At 38.7% G+C, this 20,890-nt stretch overlaps 2 long non-coding RNA genes across 3 annotated transcripts; one reads left to right on the top strand and one right to left on the bottom strand.

The window, feature by feature from the left end:
• Positions 1-1,601: 1,601 nt before the first annotated feature.
• Positions 1,602-20,414, bottom strand: LOC124900969 (uncharacterized). The gene is made up of 3 exons (XR_007058749.1): positions 20,352-20,414; positions 3,936-4,082; positions 1,602-1,839 (listed from the first exon to the last, which is right to left on the bottom strand). It is a non-coding gene; the product is annotated as an uncharacterized LOC124900969 (long non-coding RNA).
• Positions 7,018-17,032, top strand: LOC102723740 (uncharacterized). Of its 2 annotated transcripts, none has more exons than XR_007058748.1 (2): positions 7,018-7,133; positions 16,809-17,032. It is a non-coding gene; the product is annotated as an uncharacterized LOC102723740 (long non-coding RNA). The 2 variants fall into 2 exon arrangements; XR_925953.3 differs by lacking the exon at positions 7,018-7,133 and adding an exon at positions 7,719-7,965.
• Positions 20,415-20,890: the final 476 nt, after the last annotated feature.

The raw sequence follows: 20,890 nt of genomic DNA, 5'->3' as shown, positions 1-20,890 counted from the left end.
TGGCTGAGACTTTGCCAGCCCCATCCCTATGAGTGAACTGCAAATGAGGAAGAGGGGGCTTACAAGAAAAACCTAAGTTCTGCTACTGCAAGATGTTAGAAGGTGCTCTAGTCAGGCACAAATAGCAGATGTCATCTACATAAGTTTCCCAATACCTCTGAAACCAGGCCATATAGGTGGGCATTGCATTTATTTACTCTTTAGGGTGGCCTTGATTGTTTGACTTCAGTTCTGAATCCCAGAGGAGATTAAAAAGTAAAAACTAACATTAAATCAAATTTTAACTCTTATTTTTTGATTTTTTTCTTTTGCTTTTTAATTTTAAATTATGTCAAACTTACAGAGAAGTTGCAAAAATATTAGAGAAAACATCCATATATATTTTCCTCAGAGTCACTTTTTAGTTAATATTTTTTCAATGTTAACTTATCATCTGGAAAACAGTGTGCTTTTAAATGATTATTCACATTCCAGAAAGAAATTTTTAATTAAGAGGTCAGAATTGAAAAGTTTAAAAACCTATATCCCCACAGTCATTCATATAATGAAGTAGGTCTTCATTCAAAATTCACATTATACTAAAGCACCACAGAGAATATAAAAAGAAACTCAATGGTTTATATAAAAAGAGGGGAAAAGAAAGTTTCGATCATGTATAATATGTGAGAAGGTATTAGGTGGGCTGTTTAGTCTGAATAAGATGCAGGCTAGAATTCTCACTGTGGAGGAAGTAACAGGCAATTCTTCTGAGACAACTTTCAGAAGAAGGTGCCAATATGGTCAAATTAATGGTTCAACAGTGGGGGAAAATTACAGCCTTGGTAGCACCAAATTATTTCCTCCCCAATGAATACAAGTTGCAGGAGATCCCGTCATCAGTTCAGTTCTTGGGGTCTGTATTAGTCCGTTTTCACACTGCTGATAAAGACATACCTCAGATTGGGTAATCTATACAGAAAAAGAGGTTTAACGGACTCAGTTCCACGTGGCTGGGGAGGCCTCACGATCATGGCGGAAGGTGAAAGGCATGTCTCACCTGGCAGCAGACAAGAGAAGAGAGCTTGTGCAGGGAGACTCCCATTTTTAAAACCATCAGGTCTCATGGGACTTATTCACTATCATGAGAACAGTATGGGAAAGACCTGCCCCCATGATTAAATTACCTCCACCGGGTTCCTCCCACAACACCTGGGAATTGTGGATGTTACAGTGCAAGATGAATTTGTAACTCATTCACAGCCAAACCATGTCAGGGTCACTATTGACCTGATGAGTTACGAGAGAATTGTAACTCATTCACAGCCAAACCATATCAGGGTCACTATTAAAATAGTTGGCAGAACCACATCTACCTGATACCTGAGATAAGGTATGCTGAATTAGGAAAGTGGATGAAATATAGTGTGGGGTGTGCGTGTATGTGTGTGTGTGTGTGTGTGTGTGTGTTAATATTTAGATGCTCCATAGGATTTTCTGCAGGGTTTTCTCTTAAAAGATATTTTTTAAATCTAATTCAGATGCCTCCATCTAATAAGGCCTTCCACAAGGCCACATTCCCAAATTCTGGTCACTATTTCAGCAGTTACAATTTCTTATGGAGTTATAAGAAAAAGACCTTCTTAATCAAAAGCACATAATAAAAATAAGTTTTTAAACTAATACTGAAAATATCAAAATATGATCAGCAGCCCTATGAGCACAAGAATGTTTGTCTTATTTACCTGTGAATCCCCAGTACTTCGTATGGTAATTGCACATTAGTTCCCCAAGGCTTCCATAACAAATTGGATGGTTTAAAGAACAAAAACGTATTCTCTCACTGTCCCGAAGACCAAAAGTCTGAAATCAAAGTGTCAACGGTATTGGTTATTTCTGGAGGCTCAAAGGAAAAAAAAAAACATCCCATGCTTCTCCTCCAGCTTTTGGTGGTTGTTGGCAATTCTCAGCATCCCTTGGCTTGTCAAGGCATTACTCCAATCTCTGCTGCCATCATTACATCATCCCCTTGGTGTTTAACTCTGTGTCCTCTCCTTTTCTTACAAGGGCACCAGTCATTGGATGTAGGGACCACCCTAATGCAGTATGACTTCATCTTAACTAATTACATCTGTAAAAATCCTACAGTCCTCTCTTATTCACCATTTCACTTTCTGAGGTTTCAGTTACCCACAGTCAACTGTGGTCTGGAAATATTACATGGAAAATTCCAGAAATAAATAATTCATATGTTTTGAATTTCCTGCCACTCTGAGTAGCATAAGGAATCTCACTCTGTCCCCATCTGATCGGTCATCAGATCGACTTTCTTGGTATCGCAGTGCTTATGTTCAAGTTATTTCTTGTTTTATTTAAAAATGGCCCCAAAGCACAAGGGTAGGGATGCTGATGATTCATATATGCCAACGAGAAGCCATAAAGTGCTTCCTTTAAGCAAAAAGGTGAAAATTCTTAAGAAAAATAAGTTGTATGATGAGGATGCTAAGATCTATGGCAAGAATGCATCTCCTATCCATGAAATTATAAAGAAGGAAAAATAAATTTGTGTGTAGTATGTACAGTGTTTAGTACTATTCCTGCTTTCAGGCATCCACTGGGCGTCTTGGAATATATCTCCCATGGGTAAGGGGAAACTACCATATTTCCTTACCAGGTCACATTCTGAGATTCAGGGTATGCAAGGATTTGGAGGGATACTGTTCAGACCACTAAAACTCGGTATATAACCTAAAGAAATGCTGAAATATTCACCATGTGTTACAAAATAATATATATCATCCATCTTTCTTTTGATAGATCCTTCTACAATTCAGTAGGTTAGTTGTTCAGTGAACTTAATTTAAATCAAAATAGCATGAAATAGAATTTAAATTATTAGTATATAAAAATTCATTTGAAATATTTTTTCTTACAATGCTGAAAATATAAAAAGAAATACAAGTCCTGGACTTCAGAAACATTCTCACATTTTTAAGTAACTTTAAAAAATAATGGTTTCGTATACTCTGCTCAAATAGTCTATTTTTTCTACAACTTCTCTTCATTGCATTTTTCTGTAGACCTCTTCTCAGGTAGAATGATTACATGATCAATAGTCCTTCTTTAAATAAATTTTACCATTTTTCAAAACATTGCACTTCAAGAGATATAACAGAATGAACCCTGTGTTAACAAATTTAAAAGTGACATTTAAACAGAACATGTTTGCTCTCTCATTGTCTCATATAGCACCAGATAGACTCTGGTGTTTCTGTTAGAAACAAACAGGAGACAGAAACCACACTAAGTTGAACAGATAAAGTTTAATATGTAATTATTAACTGTAACAGAGGATTGAAGAAATGGGATATTGGCTACTGTTGGGAACAGGCCCCCCAAAATCTGGCCTTAAACTGGCCCCAAAACTGGCCATAAACAAAATCTCTGCAGCACTGCGACATGTTCATGATGGCCATGATGCCCACGCTGAAAGGTTGTGGGTTTACTGGAATGACCACAAGGAACACCTGGCCCACCCAGGGCAGAAAATCGCTTAAAGGCGTTCTTAAGCCATAAGCAATAGCATGAGTGATCTGTGCCTTAAGGACATGCTCCTGCTGCAGAAAACTAGCCAAACCCCTCCCTTTATTTCGGCCCATCCCTTTATTTCCCATAAGGAATACTTTTAGTTAATCTATAATCTATGGAAACAATGCTTATTACTGGCTTACTGTTAATAAATACTTGGGTAAATCTGTGTTTGAGGCTCTCAGCTCTGAAAGCTGTGAGAACCCTGATTTCCCACTCCACACCTCTATATTTCTGTGTGTGTGTGTCTTTAATTCCTCTAGCGCTGATGCGTTAGGGTCTCCCTGACCGAGCTGGTCTCAGCAGGCTACCATGAAGTAAGGAGAACTACAAGGAATATAAGAATAGCAGAAATAAGGAGCAATACTCACCCTTAGGGCTTAAGTACAGCATCCAAGTAAGAACTTCCCAAAGAGCTGAGATTCATACTTCACTGGGGAGGGCAAAACAATGGCTCACTGGATGTCAGAAAAGGGGCTGAGATGCTGTGCCATTGGAACCTGATGGCAGTCTGCTCTCTGAAGAAAACCATCCAGAGGGAGAGGTAATGTCTCAGAATTTGCTGCAATGTTGCACAAGAGGGTTCAGGGAAAACTGTGCACAGAGATGTGCCCCTTCATGGGTGCCTTGCTGAAAAAACCATCTAAGGGGCTCCATGGGGCAGCTGTTGGTCAGTGAGTGCTTCTGGGCACCGTGTACTGCAGGAACTGGGCACTGCAGGAGCTGGGCATTGAGAAGCCCAGTACTAGAGAAACCATGCTGCAGGATCCTGGCAGGCGGAACAAACTGGGACCAGGAAGAAAATGACACTTTCTTCCTCTAAACTCCCTCCAAGTCCTCCACTGGTAAAGCCTAACATTGAGCCAGATAACAAAGAAAACCTATTTAAAGTCTATATTATCACAAAGCAGGCACTAAAATATGAATTTGGAGCTGAGGCAATAAACTGATAATTGGCACATCTGGTTAGCCAATTTTCTTACTTTGTAAACTGAGTTCAATCATGTTTTGCTTAATGAGGTATTCTAGACTGCTAGGACACTAACTTTTGTGGAGACAAGAGAGTTTCTCTAAATTATACAAGTGCTAAGGGAACACCAAAATACTGGAGGCTAAATATGTCACATGATACGTTCTATTTGTATAACACTTAAACATAGTGACCTTCAATGCTTAGCCTGTTACAATGCTTTTTATGTTTATTATGAATAAAATTGAAACCATCATTACATAGAATTATTATTTCTATTTTAAAAGTCTTATTAATATTATATCTAAATTATTCTTTCTTACTTCATGCTTTTCGTACCGTTTATTTTTACATTGCTGTTTTCTGACAAACATTAACAGTAGAGGACCTAAACTCCAGGCAGAGTTTATCAAATATCTTTTATGTATTTGTGCTTTCCTTATATTTTCTAATTTATTTATCAAAAATTTACACTTTAAGCTTGAATATTATCATCTCTATGTTACAAATAAGGAAATCAAGACTTAGACAAGTTCAATAACTTGACCAAGTCCATATAAGCTAATAAATCATTGAATCAGGATGTGGGCATGTCTACATCAATGACTCATCAGTACTCTATAATGGCCCCTGAAGAAAATAATGTCAATGATTAGAAGAAAATTATAAAATAGCTGTGCCATTGCTACTATTTGCTTTCCTTCCCTTCCCTTCATTTATAATTGCAGAGGACATCATTACTTCTGGCAGCATTAGAATAGCTAAGGAAGATCAATAATGACTATTTTTAATAACATATATCATAATTTATGATTCTTAAGTAAGCTTATGGGATCTAATTTTACTAATTTTTTTCATTTCACCTTCTTGTTTCCACATTCCCTTTTTCTCAGAAAGTGATGTTAATAAGCCTTCTATCACTGTCTAACTCACAGGGACCCACTGTTAACATCCAAGAGAGGGCAGAACAAAGAATAAGTTTGTTGCCAACCCTTGTGGTTATTTCCACAGAGACTTAATAAACCGCTCAATAAAAGGCAATTTAGAGAAATAAAGAAGCTGTGTAAACAAATGTCTTGTTGATCAGTGAACATTAATGTATCTTCTCATTCAATAATTTGCTTTAGAATCCACCTAAGAAATACTGCACCCTATCTTTTAATGCTTAGGATATTTGATTATTTGACAAAAGAAACACATAATCTATGCATTGATTAACATATTTCATATATCTAATTCAAAGCTTATCACAAAAGCTCACCACCTCAGTTTCAATAATTTCTATAAATAATCCACTAACAAAGTACTTACTGAATGTATTTATTTATGTGATAGGCTGGAGATACAACTATGAATAAGGCACACCAAACTCACAGCTCTCCTGTAGCTTAAAGTTTAGTGAAGGAGACTGGCAATAAACAAAATAAAAAAGTAGATTTATGGCATTTTAGAAAGTGATATGGGAAAAATAAAGCAGTGAAAGGGGATAGGGTACTACAATTTTAAAAGGGAAGGTGAGAAAACATCTCACTGAGAAGATGGCGTTTGAGAAAAGAACACCTTTGTTCAAAGCTAAAGTGAGCCATACCAACACCTGGAGAAGAACACTCCAGCAAGAGTTTATCCAACATCTCTTATATATCTCTGAGATCCCAATGTGTCTTGTTCCTGCTCTGTGTGGGCTCTGATTGATTTCACTTCTTTTATTCTGCCCCAGGGCTTCCCATTGATAGTACTATAGACTCGTGAGCACTTAAACCCACACATGTGCAAGTTGGAAGGGCATGGAAGTGCAAGTTGGAAGTTTATCCACGTGGATAAACTTCAACCAATGCAAGAGAAGATCATCTGGATGAGCTCTTCTTCCTTTGTGTTCCCCAGGAACACTCAAGGTTGCTCAAGAGTGTATGCCAGTGAACTGAGCAGCTAACTGCAGTAACTGGAAGCAGGCTCAATAACGTGTCCTTGCCCTGGTTCTTCCTCCTTCCCTGCATCACTCTTCTTGCCCTTCTCACCTGTGCCCTGGGATTGAACTCCCTGAAAACATCACATAAGCTCTATGCCTCCATTTCTGGGTAGCACATGCTGAGGCACAAATTGGAAAAGAAGTGCAAAATCCTCAGATGGATATGTGTTTGGCATGCTAAAGAACAGCAAGAAGGCCACTGTAGTAAGATCAAACAGAGCAAGGGGGATGATATAATAGAATTTTGTCCAGAGGTAACGGAGGACCCATCATGTAGGGCCTTATAGACCTTAACAGAACTTTGTCTTTGGTTCTATTTGAGATGAGAAGTTGTTGACATCATCTGCATTATGATTTAACAGGATGACTCTGGGCACTGTGTTAACAAGAGACTGAAGGGGACAAGAGTAGAAACGGATAACCAGTTTGGAGTCTACTGTAGCAATTCTGGTAACAGATGATGACGTCGGCCAGTAACAGCAGAAGTGAAAATATGTGGTAGATTATGGGTATATTGTGAGGGTAAATCTATTTGAACTTTTTTATGGTGTGAGAAGGAAAGAAGAAGCATGGACGACTCTAAGAAAACTTGATTTGATATGAGCTAAAAGGGGGAAGAAAAGTAAAAAGCAGGTAAAGTTCAGAGACCCGCTCTAGATGTGATAAATTAAATGTACCCATGAAACTCCAAGGGCAGATGTCAAGAGAGCAGTTGCATGTATGTGTCTGGATTTCACGAGAAAGATCCAGATTGATAATCATTAATGAGTTATTAAGACTTAAAACCAAGAGATTCAATAAGATTACCAAGGAAATGAGTGCAACTAGAGAAAAGAAGAAGATCATTTACTGAGACGAGGAACACTCCAATATTAAAACGAGGGAGGTAGAGTGGAATCAGTAAAGACTAAGGAATGGTCAATAAGGAGGATGAAAACCAGTAGAGAGTGGTGTCTTGAAAGCCCAGTGAAAAAAGCACTTCAAAAAGAAAGGAAATATGTGATTTATCAGGTTGAATGCTGCTGAAAGGACAAATAAAATGAGGATTGAGAATTTGACCTTTGGATTTAGTAACTTGAAATCATTGTTGACAAGAGCATCTTTACTAAAATGATAGAAACAAAGACACAATTTGAGTGGGTTTAAAAGAGAATGAGAAAGGAGGAACTAGAAGTGACTATATGCCATATTTTTTAGGGGTTTTGTGGTAGAGGAGAGCAAAGAAATGGAGTGATAGGCTACAGGGAAAAATAGGGTAAAGAGAGGGTTTATTTGAGATTATTAAAATAATAGCATATAAGTAGATGAATGAAAATAATTCAACTGGAGAAAAAAATTGATGATGCAAGAGAGGAGCATTTCTGGAGTAATATTCCTGAGAATGTGAGAAGGCTGGAATCTGATAAACAATTGAAGAGGCTGTCCTTACTAGGAACACGGACACCTCATCTACAGCAAGAGGAAAGTGAGTATAAGGGTGAGGATGCCAGTTGGTGGATAGATGTGGTGTGGGAACTTGTGGACCTCTTCTGATTGCCACAGTTTGCTCAGTGAAATTGAAAGCAAATTTATCAGCTGAGAGAGGAAGAGTGAATTGTTGTTGAAGGTAAGCAGAGGGCTAAAAGGGTATTAGTCATCTATCATCCTTTTTGTTTTCTAGTTTTCATTAATTCTAAGATACCTACCTCCATCTCATCTACCCCAATTACCAATGCTGAATGGTAACCAGAGTAGGAGAATTCAGGGAGTGGTATCACAATGAATAGAACCTGGTTATGCAAATGACTGCCCAGTCAATTCCACTATGTCCCATGGGGCCCTTGGGATGGGGCTAAAACTAGGCTCTGTTCCTATCACTTAAAAGCTTTGTAGAAGATGGGCACAGTGGCCCATGCCTGTAATACTGAAAGTCTGAGGCAGGCGGGTCACTTGAGCCCAGGAGTTTCAGACCAGCCTGGGCAACATAGCAAGACCCCATCTCAGAAAAAAATCTTTGGGACCAGCTTATCCATCTTTTTGTCCAATCCCAGCAGCTCAATAGACACCAGATCAAGTCTACGGGTGAGGGGTAGGACGGAGCCTCTTTTGTTGCTTGGAATGTCTGCTTCAGAAAAAGCTGAACCAGTTTACTCTGGTAGGCATCCAGGAATTCCGGACACCGTGATGATGGAAGATGCACCCAAAGTCATCTTCCTTCCCTCCAAGCATCTACCAGATAAGCATGAGTTAGAATATCATGCCCTAGGAAATTCAAAGAATTGAAAAAATATTGCTTGCTTTCTTCCCCTTTCCTCTGCCCTCTATTTTTCATTATATTCTTTCCCAGATACATAATCAGACACTCCTTTGCATATGCAAGAAAAAGGCCTAAATTGGGAACTACACTTTACCTTCTGTTGTGAAAAAAGTAAATCATAGTATTTAGAATGCCTTGCCTGTATAAAGTATATAAATTTTATACATGCATTATTTCATTTAATAGTCACAAAAACTTTACCAAAATTGGATACTAAGTAAAGTTCTAGTGTCCAATTTTGGTAAAGTTTTTGTGACTGTTAAATGAAATAATGCATGTATAAAATTTAAATACTTTATACAGGGAAGGCATTCTAAATACTATGATTTAGTATGACTGTTTACTAATTATTTTGTATAATTGTATACTAAGTATCCAATTTTATAAATAAAGAAACTGAGTTTTGGGGATTTTAAATTATCTATTCAAGTTTACATGAGCAAAAGATGGCTTTAACCCAGGATTTGACTACAGATCCCATGATCTTTGTACTAGACTCCATTATAATTGCCCATCTTTCTCTCAGCCATTTATCTCCCTCCCACTATATTAAATCAATAAGATTCTAGATGACCTTAGTTCACCTAAGCTTACAATATTCAACTAGAAATTGATCAACTGTGGCCATATAGCATATTAAAGAAGGATTCTAAAGATTTTAGTCAGTCGAAACAGACTCTTCATCAGTAAAAATAGAGAACTAGTATCTTTTACTAGTTACTAATATGTTTAAAGAAGATTTAAATTTCCCTAAGTTATAGAATTCTGGAGAATCTGTAACCCAATATTCAAGTAGAAAAGTAATTTCTTTAATTTCCAATACCTTAGAAATTAAAGAAGGTTACCAAGGGCCCCACAGACCAGAAAAACCAGGTAAATGAGTTTAGGTAAAGAAAAAATAAAAGTAAAAACTCAAGGGATGGTGTGTGGAATGAGAAACTGACATTTATCAAGCTTTCTGGTTATTTTGAACATGTTATTTATTTCAACCTTGATAACCATGCAATAAAAGGAGCAAGGCCTCCTAAAGGATAACAATGTTCTCAGCATTACAAAATCTCTAAGTAGAATTTAAACCCAGGACTGCCTGATGCCAAAGCTCATGATCTTTGCACTAAATATAGAAGTTATAAGAAAGAAAAAAAGTTATTCTATTTTTTCAAGACTCCTGAAATACTTACCAATAGCAAAATGGTTACAATAAATGTATTTAAGCCAAAAACACAAAGTGGCCTGAAACAGGTCAGACCATATGAAGTCTGTACCACCCTCTTTCTGCAACTGCTCTCAGCCATCTTTATTGATTTGATTTGATTGCTCTGCATTTTCCATCGACAGCTGCTTAGTGGTGGCTTTCAGTGATTAGCTAAAACATGTATCTGCACAATAACATACAAACATAGTTACTGCAGCACCTAAACAAAAGGGCAAGGTACAACTTTTCAATGATATGCCAACCTCAGCAATTAACACAAGTTCAGAATCACAATATCTCTTCCTATTTTGAGAAAACCTTGATAGAACCTACTGTTTTCCTATATATGCTGTTTTCAAGTGTGAAGAGCTTTCACCAAGGCAAGCAAAAGGAAAGCAATTTTACCAAAAAGAATAACCTGTAATATGTTTTACCCGTTATTGATGGCAGCAGTGGCCCATCCGGAGTGGCTGCTGCAAAGATGCCAGCTGCAGCCGGGTAGGTGCAGCTGGGGCTGCACATTCCACGGAGCTAGTGGGAGCCTTGCCCCTTACTGAGTTGGGGGGTGGGAGCCCCATACTCCTGGGAGCAACTGCAGCACCCAGCTGAGGCTCTGTATGGGGGCATTCTTGCCTTCTTGGGGGCTCAGGAAATGCCCCTGTCCCCCACAGGCTCAGAAGTACCTGCTCCCACTCCCTGGCCTCTCCCTCCTCCCAGCACCTGCTCCTGGGTGGAACAAAGTTGTGGCCGAGCCCAGGTGTTGTCACTACCCAACTTGGTGTGTACACACTCCCAGTGGCACTGACAGGCCAGCCCCCTGCCACCTTGGCTCCCTCCAGACTTTGAGTGCTGATGAGCATGGGAGGGAGACTGAGCAGGGGTGAGGGTGGCTCAGCAAGAGCCCACAGGCACCCCTGAGCCATGAACAGCCTGGGCGCTGTGACATTGTGATGATGTTGATGGCAGCAGGAGGCAGACAGGCTTCTCAGCAGAAAGAGGCGGGTCCCAGGTGAAATTCCACTTTCAATGCAGGGATGGCCCAAAGCCTAGAAACCAGGCTGCCAGTTCCAGGTAGAGTCCCCGGTCCAGAGAGCTACCCACTACGGGCCTCCTCTTCACTGAGAACTGGACACTCATCAGGATGACCTGCCTGCAGAAAGGAGCTACCCACTCTGGGTCTCCTGAGAGCTGTTCTGTCATCCAGTGAAGCTCCTCTCCACCTTGCTCACCCTCCAGTTGTCTGTGTACCTCATTTTTCCTAGATGCAGGACAAGACCTCGGGACCTGCCAAATGGTGGGACTGAAAGAGCTCTAACACAAACAGGGCTGAAGCCCGCCCCCCACTCCACCTCACCATGTTGCAGGCAACAAGATGGAAAGTAGAGCTGCAGCCCTCTGGGGAGCCCAGACCTAGGGGCTCCCCAAGCCAGGGCTGTGACACTTTCTTTGACTCTGTGGTTCCTGACATATGCAAGCTTCCAGGATCCACCACATTCCCCTCATCCAGACACACGTGCCCAGAGCAGAAGCCATGTGTGGTACATCTGGTCCAGCCACAGCCTTGCACAGAGCCAACACCTGTGCCAGCACCTGGCTGTGTGCAGTGGCCGGAACCCATGCTCACTCACCCACAGACCTCTTGCCTCTCTGTACCTGGCTGGCCCTTGGCAGGTGTAGGATCCAAGCCAGTAGCACGAGCTGAGTACAGCCTACCAGGCTGAGTGGGTGGAATGAGCCCAGCAGGCACAAGCAATATTCAGGCATAAGGCACTGCCAGCCACAGAGGTTTCTGCCTGGAGAAGCAACTCCCCAAGTATCCTGTGACAGTATCATCAACTTGGCCATTGAGATGTTAATCTTTCGCCCAAGCCTAAATTAAAAATTCAGAGTCTCAACTAATAGCTGAACCCTCACAGAAAAGAGACATCCATTCATTCATTCAGTGAATTAGTATTTTAATTGAACACCACTATTTGTCAGGTACTCTCCTATATTCTATAGATACAGAGGTGAGCAATATGTAAACATACTTGTCCTCTTGGAAGAAACTTGCATGATAGCAGGGAAAGCTAAAAGAAATTATTACACAATTACATAATTACAAACGTGATAAAATATATATGTGAAAGTTATGAGTTGTAGATGAATGCACGTACAAAAGAAGTACCTAACTTAATCTAGGGGTCGTAGTAGGTTTCTAGAAGAAGTGGTGCTTTAATTGAGTTCCAGAGGATGTGTAGGTACTGGCCAGGTGAAGAGGGAGGAAGATTCAGGAAGAGCATGGGGAGCAGCCTAAGTAGAGGCATGAAATGCTTGTATATCAGGAATAGTTTCAGTGAGGCTCATGAAAACAGAGGCTGGAGGAGGCTGAGATGGAACTGAAGAGGTTATGCAAAGTCATGTGGACTATGAGAAGCATTTTGGACTTTATTTTAAAGGCAATCAGATGCTATTAAAGGATTTTAAGTAAGAGAGGGAAGTAATCATATTTGTTTGTTAAAAGATTTCCTAGGATGCTATGTGCAGAATAAATTGGAGGAAGCAAATAAAAGGACTTTGCAAGAATTCAGGAGAGAGACAATGATGGTTTGGATTAGAATAATGACAATGAGGGTGAAGAAAAATGGATGGGTTTGAAAACACAGGATTTAATGCTAGACTGAATATGGGGGGTGGTCACGAAGAAAAAGGATTTAAAGGTATTCTCAAGTTTCTAATTAGAAAAAAATCAGGAAATTGTTATGTTAAATATAAAAATGGAAGACATTCCAGAATGCACACATTTAGAAAGATGGATCATTGGTTCACATTTTGAACATAATGAGTTTTAGATACTTTTGTGATGGGATAGTCTTGAGTAGGCAGCTGCGTGAACTGGCTGAACACACAAATTGAAGAACAACATGAAAATCTCCAGATCTATTTAGAAACAGAGTCTGGATTGAAACAAAGCTATCTCTCAATTATTAAATGTTGAATTAAATAATGACTGCAGGACACAAACATGACCAAAGGAGGTATCATTACACATCTCTATAGTGACAAATATTCTCCTCCACCTGGGCCTCCAGGTTAACTGGCATAACAAACTTTAATCCTCCATCATCTAAGTGCCTTCCTAAGAAATGATAAAGGCTAAAATTTTAAGTTTGAAAGGAAATATTAATAAGTGAAAATATTATAGGTAAAACCGAAACCAGAAGATAATATCAAAAAAGATAGTTCATCAAATGTAAATTCTGAACACTGACCAAGGTAGTATACAGGTAATTAAAAATAATACCTGCAGCACATCATGCTTGTGAGTAATCAAAGGCAATAATGCATAGATGACATACACTTAATTATTGGACAGTACAAGTAAAAAAATCAAGATATGCTCAAATGTATGGTGTAGGTTATTTGTTCAATCAACAAACACTTTGTTGAGGAACCATCATTTGACAGACTCTGTTGTGTGCTGGGGATATAAAGATATACCACTTGATTTTCATTATGGAAAGTCAAGTTTTAGGGAAGAAAACAGATGAACATGAAGCCGTTACAAAGCACGTGTGCTAGAGATAAATATGCATTTTCAAGGGAACATATACATTGAATCAATTAAATTGGTTGGAGGTGATGACATTTAAGTTTGATACTCAATGATTAATGTGTCAAATAGAGAATAGTGGAAGTGTTTTCAAGATACGACACAGCATGGCACAATGATGAAAGAATGAAAGATTGTGGTGGGCTATGTGGCTGATATACAGGTGTATGGTAGGAATTGGTGGAAGGAGAGTCTGGAACGGTGGGTTGGGGTTTTGTGTATCGTGCCATGGGTTTTATTCTGCATGTAATGGGAGAGTACCTAATTCATTTCCAAGAAGGTGGTAAATCATGTTCCAGTATGAGGCCAAGGTTTGGATACTGGTGAAGCAGAGTGGTCATCTGAGCATTCATAAGACTAGTAGAAACCATGTTTAAAAGAGAACACAACTGCCCAACATTAAGATAGCTAAATCTGTCAAAGGTGAGGGGTAAAAGGGAAGAGTATCACAAGGCAAGTGGTTGCAGGAATGATTGGATAACAGAAGCAAGGGGAGAATAAAAATCAACAATTCTAAGGCCTAAAAGACCAAAGATTTGTTTAGTTGACCTCTGGCTAGGATATGGATGAGTTGGCCTGGTTAAAAGACATAAAGGTAGGGGATCTCTCACACAGCGAGACATTGACAGTTGTCAAGCCAGGGGCTAACATAATCAGATTGGTATTTTAGAAAGATTACAGCCAAGCATGGTGGCTCATGCCTGTAATCCCAGGATTTTGGGAGGCCGAGGCAAGTGGATCACTTGAGGTCAGGAGTTCAAGACCAGCCTGGCCAACATGGTGAAACCCCATCTCTACTAAAAATAAAAATATCAGCCAGGTGTGGTGGTACATGCCTGTAATTTCAGCTACTCGGGAGGCTGGCACAGTAGAATCGCTTGAAACCGGGAGGTGGAGGTTGCAGTCGGCCCAGGTTGCGCCACTCCACTCCAGCCTGGGTGACAGAGCGAGACTCCGTCTCAAAAAAAAGAAAAATTGCAACTAAGGTATGTTGAAAGATGGTGTGAACAGGAGTCAGGCAGGCATTCTTTTGGGAAAGTGCAATTAAGAGAGAGCTGATGACAGTTTCAGCTAGATCAATGACCAAGAACTGGAGTAGTCTGATGAGGAAGGGGAAAGATAATATGTCAGAGTGGTCAGGCAAGACTTGTTAGGGTCATTTGCAGAATCAAATTTAGCTTGATAGTGAGGAATGGGGAAGAGACTTCATACTGGAGGAAGGGCAGCAGAACGTTTTACAGAGTAACAGATTTGGCAGACTCGTGAGCCTGACTCTGTCTGGCATTTTTATATTCATATCTGGTTCCTGGTGTAAGCTCCATATCCTGGAAAGATTTTGCAAGAGGACCTCAGCACTACATTGGTCACTATTAAGAGTCTAATGGCTTTTTGCATCAGTCACCTCTAGAAAAGCCAATGGTGGAAGCTAATATAGTAAAAGTTAGTCTGTGGGCTTCAGATTACATAGGATTCTACTGAGAAATTTCCAAGGGTCCTCATAAATCCATTCCTAACATATCCACAGAATATGAATCATTCTCAAACGTGGCTAAACTTCGACACAGAATTATGCACTATGGTGTAGTGAAAAGAGCTTGAACTTTGACCATATATTTGCTAAATGATTGATGAAAATTACCTTGCAATAGGAAAAGATGGCTGTTTGTCAAAAGGAAAAAATGGTATGGCTTAAGTATCTGCAGACTGAGCTGCACTAGCTTCAACCAAGACTTTCTGCAGACTGGTCACTGCTTTTTAATGTTTCCGTTGACGTCAGATAGTGTCTAGTGAAACCAGCTATTTTTATATATCAATTGTAAATGCAGCAGCTATCTCTCCTCTGAATTAGATCACAGAGCAGCAATGAAATGCATGCCTCAGTCATAAGGTAGATGAACAGGCACTTCTAGATTACATTAGAGAGAATATGAGTTCTCCTCACTCTGCCCTAGAGCAATGGTTGCAGTTGTCAATTGTACAAATCATTAGGTGCTTTTTCTTGCAGTGTTTGTAAGAAAGGAATAAAAGGAATATTTTGCTTTGTTGATCCAAGAGTAAGTGCAAGAAATCTGGGCACAGTACACGAAGCAAGCCAAACTTTGAGAGAGCAGCAGAATCGTCACTGCTAGACAAGGACAGAAATGAACATAAAATCATTGATGCCCATTTCCCAATCTTAATGCTGATTCCTTTGATGAAAAGGAAAGTGGATGACCAGATTCAAGGACAGGAGATCATCTGAGCACTCAGAGGCACCTTCTGTGACTTTTGAGGCTGTAGTTGCTGAAGAATTTCTCCAACTGGTTATGTTCTGATGCAAATGCTCCCAAAAATGCCTGCTAATGTTACCAGATAGGAATCCCTAACCAGTAAACCTTATGTATAAGCACACAGCAGCGTAAGAACTATTACACAGAATCTCCATAGTGGCGTTGAACATATTTTCATGTGCCTTCATATTTTGATAAGAAACAAAGCCAACAAATAGTCAACAAATATCACATGATATACGTTTAAGAAAAGTCTCTTAACCATGATGAGAAAGGTCATATAGTGTATTTTTAGATCCACTATATAAAATCCCCCTTCATAAATCCCCCTATATAAAATCAGGTTTTTTGTACGTACAATTTTGTTTTTTGCAGAAGGTAGAAACTCACTTTTTTGGAGAAATTGGGGATGAGAGGAGGAGGAATAAACATTCAAATTCAAAACCATCAAGTTTTTGTGACTCGATGTTGTTTTCCCAGAGTACATACATTTCAATAAGACCCTTTGTTTGCTGGGCTATATGATTGCACTTTATCAATTCTGAACTTTAAATTGCAGACGATAATATCAGCTCCCAAATGTCAGACATCATGATGAATTGGCTTTTCAACTTGTCAAGCCATTCCCTTTTCTTGCTTCCAAAATGTCAAATGCAAAGGTTCCTGATAACAAAGCTGTGCAAAGCATGTTTTTTTGTTGTTGTTGTTGTGGTTTTAGCAATCATAATAATGGAAATTCCTTCAGAGTTTGTTTTATATGTAACAGCTGTGTTTTTATTGATATTCTAATTGTGCAGATTGCGTCACCTTTTAAGTAAATGAATTAAATCGAACCCCCCTCATACAGCACATTTGAAATGATTGATTTTATCACCCCTCTAATGCTAAAATGTATGTTTAAAAAAATGTTAAGTGCTTAATTAATTTCTTTTTTTAAATTTGCTTTTTATTCCAGATACAGATATTTTGCCCTTTTGGAAACTGAAGATAAAACAGAAAAAGAAAAGAATTTTAAGATATGTTAATCTAGCAAAACTAACATAAGAATGGCCACCGTGAATTTCATGAAATTTTGCCACAGAGCAATACTAAAAACTGAATGATTATGCCTTTTTCCATATTTTAATTAAAACTGAAATGAAAATACTCACTGTTGGAAAGTAAAGAAATTAAGCCATAGATGGTTTGATGGATTGGTTGATTATTTAGAAACGTATTCATTTAGTCATTCGTCCATCACATATTTACAGAGTATCTACCATATTCTAATCACTAGACTAAGTAGAAAATAGAAGGATAAATAAAGCTCAGTTTCTGGCCTTGAGGAGTTGGAATTTAAGGAGAAAACAGGCTATATCATAACCAGAGATAAAAAGAACTCAATAGGTCAAAGACGTTTACTTCTTCTTTCTAGGTATAACTTTGAAATTAAATTCCTGAAGTCCTGAAAATGAATATTGCATAATAAATCTTGGAAAACCTATCTAAACTATAATGTGACAGAGCTCTAAAGGACAGTCCTCCTTTGCTTAGGTTACCTTGCCATTCAGATGGTACTCCCTTAATAAGTTATACCTCCTCTATTTTAATGTATGTCTAGTAACACCAGGCAGGGCACAATACCCCAATATATTCCATAATACAAATAAATAGGGACATCTAATAGTCACCCTCATTCAAACTATTGTATGTATTGCTCCATTTTCAGCAGATTATTTTTCTGTTTTCTTTTTATCTCTCAAGAAAATGAGTTGGCATTCTGGCCAGTTCTAATGCTCTGGAGCTTCTCTCTTATTCAAAGCATGTAACTCTCAAAAAGCTTTCCTCCATATTGGCAAAGGAAGAGAATAAATATAGTCATATTATACATGCATAAAACATCTTTGGAAGGACACACAAAAAAACTGGTAATATCAGTTGCCTCCAAGATTGGGATTGGGTGGTTTAAGAGGCAGTGATTATAGGAGCACTTTTATTGTATATCCTTGTAAGTCTCGAAAACATTTGAAAATATGCATTGATTACCATTTAAACACACACACACACACACACACACACACACACACTTCAAAATCAGAAACATCTCAGGCCCACTAAACAATAGATTCCCATTTAGTTTCAAGCTCCTTCATAGATCTAGCTCTCCCTTACACCAAAGGTCCTGAAATTCTCAGTTATTTTCTCTCTTTAGTCAAGCCAGTATTCTCTTCCTCATGCTATTTCATTCTACTGCACCATCTTTCTTAACGTGTCAAATGCCTATAATCTCTAGCTTTCCATTTGCCCCACTCCTACCCAACTCCCTCTCTCCTTATGCCCAAGGTAGTTCAAATGCTCTGGGAATCTGCCTTTTGTTAAGCAAATCAGGGAAGCACTATTTTTGAGAACTGCTTGTGATACATAAACAATGACTTCTCCTACCCTGTAATATTGCCCCTGCCCTCCATATAGAAATCAATTGCTTTTATAGAATAAATCGAAATCCAAGTGGATATATGAAAGATGTATGAAAGTTGATCTATCCTTATCTGGCTCTCTCCACACTGACCTGTGATCTCAGGTGAGGCCACATCTGTGAGCCTCTCAGGTGCAAGGATGAGTTTAAAACACATATCTTCAGGGTGAAAGTGGTCAGCCTCTCTCATCTACCCCGAAGATTTCAGTAAGGAAGGATGCTTTTTTCTTGCTAGTTAAGACTTATTGAGGCTACATAATTTATTACCTATCCCAGACAACCAGTGAGTAACCTAAGAAAGTATTTTTTTCCATTTATTACATTAAAAAAAAAGGAGCTACTTTTTCTGTCTTGAGTTCCTTTTATAGAGAATCTGACTACCTTCGCCTAATTGAGACCAGGGACTTGACTATTAGATCTAAAATGACATTTTAGATGAAATATTAGTCATATATATAAGGAAAGAAGTGTCTTTCTTTTAAATGATACTCTATTTTGAGTGAGTGCCAGAGATAGTGAATCTAGAATATGGGGCAAAATCTACTGTAATAATCTTCAGAAAAGAGAAAATATCACTGCTTAATAGGACTTATGACTGTGCCACCCTTATAGATTTATTTCTAAAAGAAAATGAATCCATGTTTTGCTTTCCTTGTAAAGAGCACTGGGAAGTGCCTTTTATCATAGTTTAGTCTGCTGTTAGGAGATTAGAGACAATATAACTGTATCACTAACCTGGGTCTGGCATATTTAAGTTTTAAACCTCTTAACAAGACATACAGTAGGGAGTTTACATATAATGTCTTGAACCAGTATTTTAAATTGTGTATTGTGTATTTTATGTCTTGTTTTCCACATATACTACATGCTCCTTGAGGAAGGGAGCCAAATCTAATCTACAGCATCTGTCTTGGTGTCCAACATCTAACAAATTTTCAAGAAATGGTGGTTAAATAACTTGAGAAACTATAGGGAGGTAACAAAACACAGTCTGGAGGAGAAACATTTGGACCCATTAGAATAAGCCATTTTCAATTAAGGAATAACATTGTACAAGGAAAATCAATTGAGTGCAAAAAATAACTAGACAGTTTGCTTTATTTACAGAAGAAAATATTCAATCTACCTACTTTTAAAAGTGAAATTGGTCATTTATTGAATATGTGTAATAAATTCTAAGGAAAAGGAAAGCACTATAGTTCTTAAATCATGACTTAAAGCAAGGGATCTAAAGAGGCAGAAGAATAATAAATGTAGAAGAGGGAGAAAAAGAAGGCAGGTTAAGAGAGGAAGTTAGTGAAGAGAGTAAGAGATGAGGTTTGCAAGGCAGAAGTGAAGATACAGAGGCGAAGACATTTTCAAGATGTTGGCTGGTTGTAACTTTTTATTGTTCATTTGGGTTGTGAAGCTCAAAATAAATTATCATTAGTCAGATCAGCTTAGTCAGATATTAGACACTTTAAAAGATAGTTATCACCTTTCCCTCTCGCTACATTAGTTAATTGACTATGGTCAGTGCTCACCTGGTTGATTCTTAAATGGCTAGCTGCTGCATTTTCAAAACTGATTGCCGTAACAGAGAACTAGCTAGTTCAGTGTTCCTACAAAATCACCTCAAGAACTGACACATCCTGAGAACCAGCCGACCACGACTCCTGACTTAGGCTCAGTCCCCAAATCCAGATTCTGGAGGTCTCTGTATTCAAATTAAAACTACTCTGCACCAGAAGAATAAACAGACTCAACATTTCTCTCAATGAGAAAAGCAGTATCGATTGAAGATTGTTTAGTAACAATACCTAACACTTATTAAATAACTACCGTGCACTTATTTGCAGGCACTGTGATTTGTCTTTCACATTCATAATCTAATTTCAGCCTCCTAAGGGCTTTCATTTTCACTGCTAAAATCCTAAAAGCAGCCATAGATCAAAGGTAGTTCAATGTAGGAATGACACCAACAAAATCTGGCTGCCTGTGATAACAACAAAGGTTTAATTGACTCACAGTTCAGCATGGCTGGGGAGGACTCATAAAACTTACAATCACGGTGGAAGGGGAAGCGAACACGTCCTTCATCACAGGCGGCAGCAAGAAGTGCCGAACGAGGTGGATGTGGGGAAGCCCCTTATAAAAACATCAGATCTCGTGAGAACTCACGATCAGAAGAACAGCAGCATTGGGGTAACTGCCCTCATGATCCAATTACTTCCCACAGGGTCCCTCTCACGACACGTGGGGATTTTATGGAAACTACAAGATGAGATGTGGATGGGGACACAGCCAAACCATATAAGAAGGGATTAGCAAAAGCAGAAATGAGAATAAAGCTGCCAAGAAAATGTCTCCAATGGCGTGGTGGCTAAAGGACATTTTATCCAAAATATGTCTACTGTTTAAAATTGTCCGTGTACATGTGATGTACTTTTCTACTCTGATATATTTCAGGAAAGTCCTTGACCCACAAATTACCTTGTATGGGAGTTTTCTGGTTTTGTTATAGATTTTCTTTTGATTTGCATTTTTATGTGTATGGAAAATAAGAAAAATATCCAGGTCTTACCTCAGCCTCCACACAGTAT

The sequence above is a fragment of the Homo sapiens genome, chromosome 5 (genome assembly GCF_000001405.40).
Source record: "Homo sapiens chromosome 5, GRCh38.p14 Primary Assembly".
Taxonomy (NCBI): domain Eukaryota; kingdom Metazoa; phylum Chordata; class Mammalia; order Primates; family Hominidae; genus Homo; species Homo sapiens.
The sequence above is the reverse complement of the archived record's forward strand: the minus strand, read 5'-3'. Positions and strand labels throughout refer to the sequence as shown.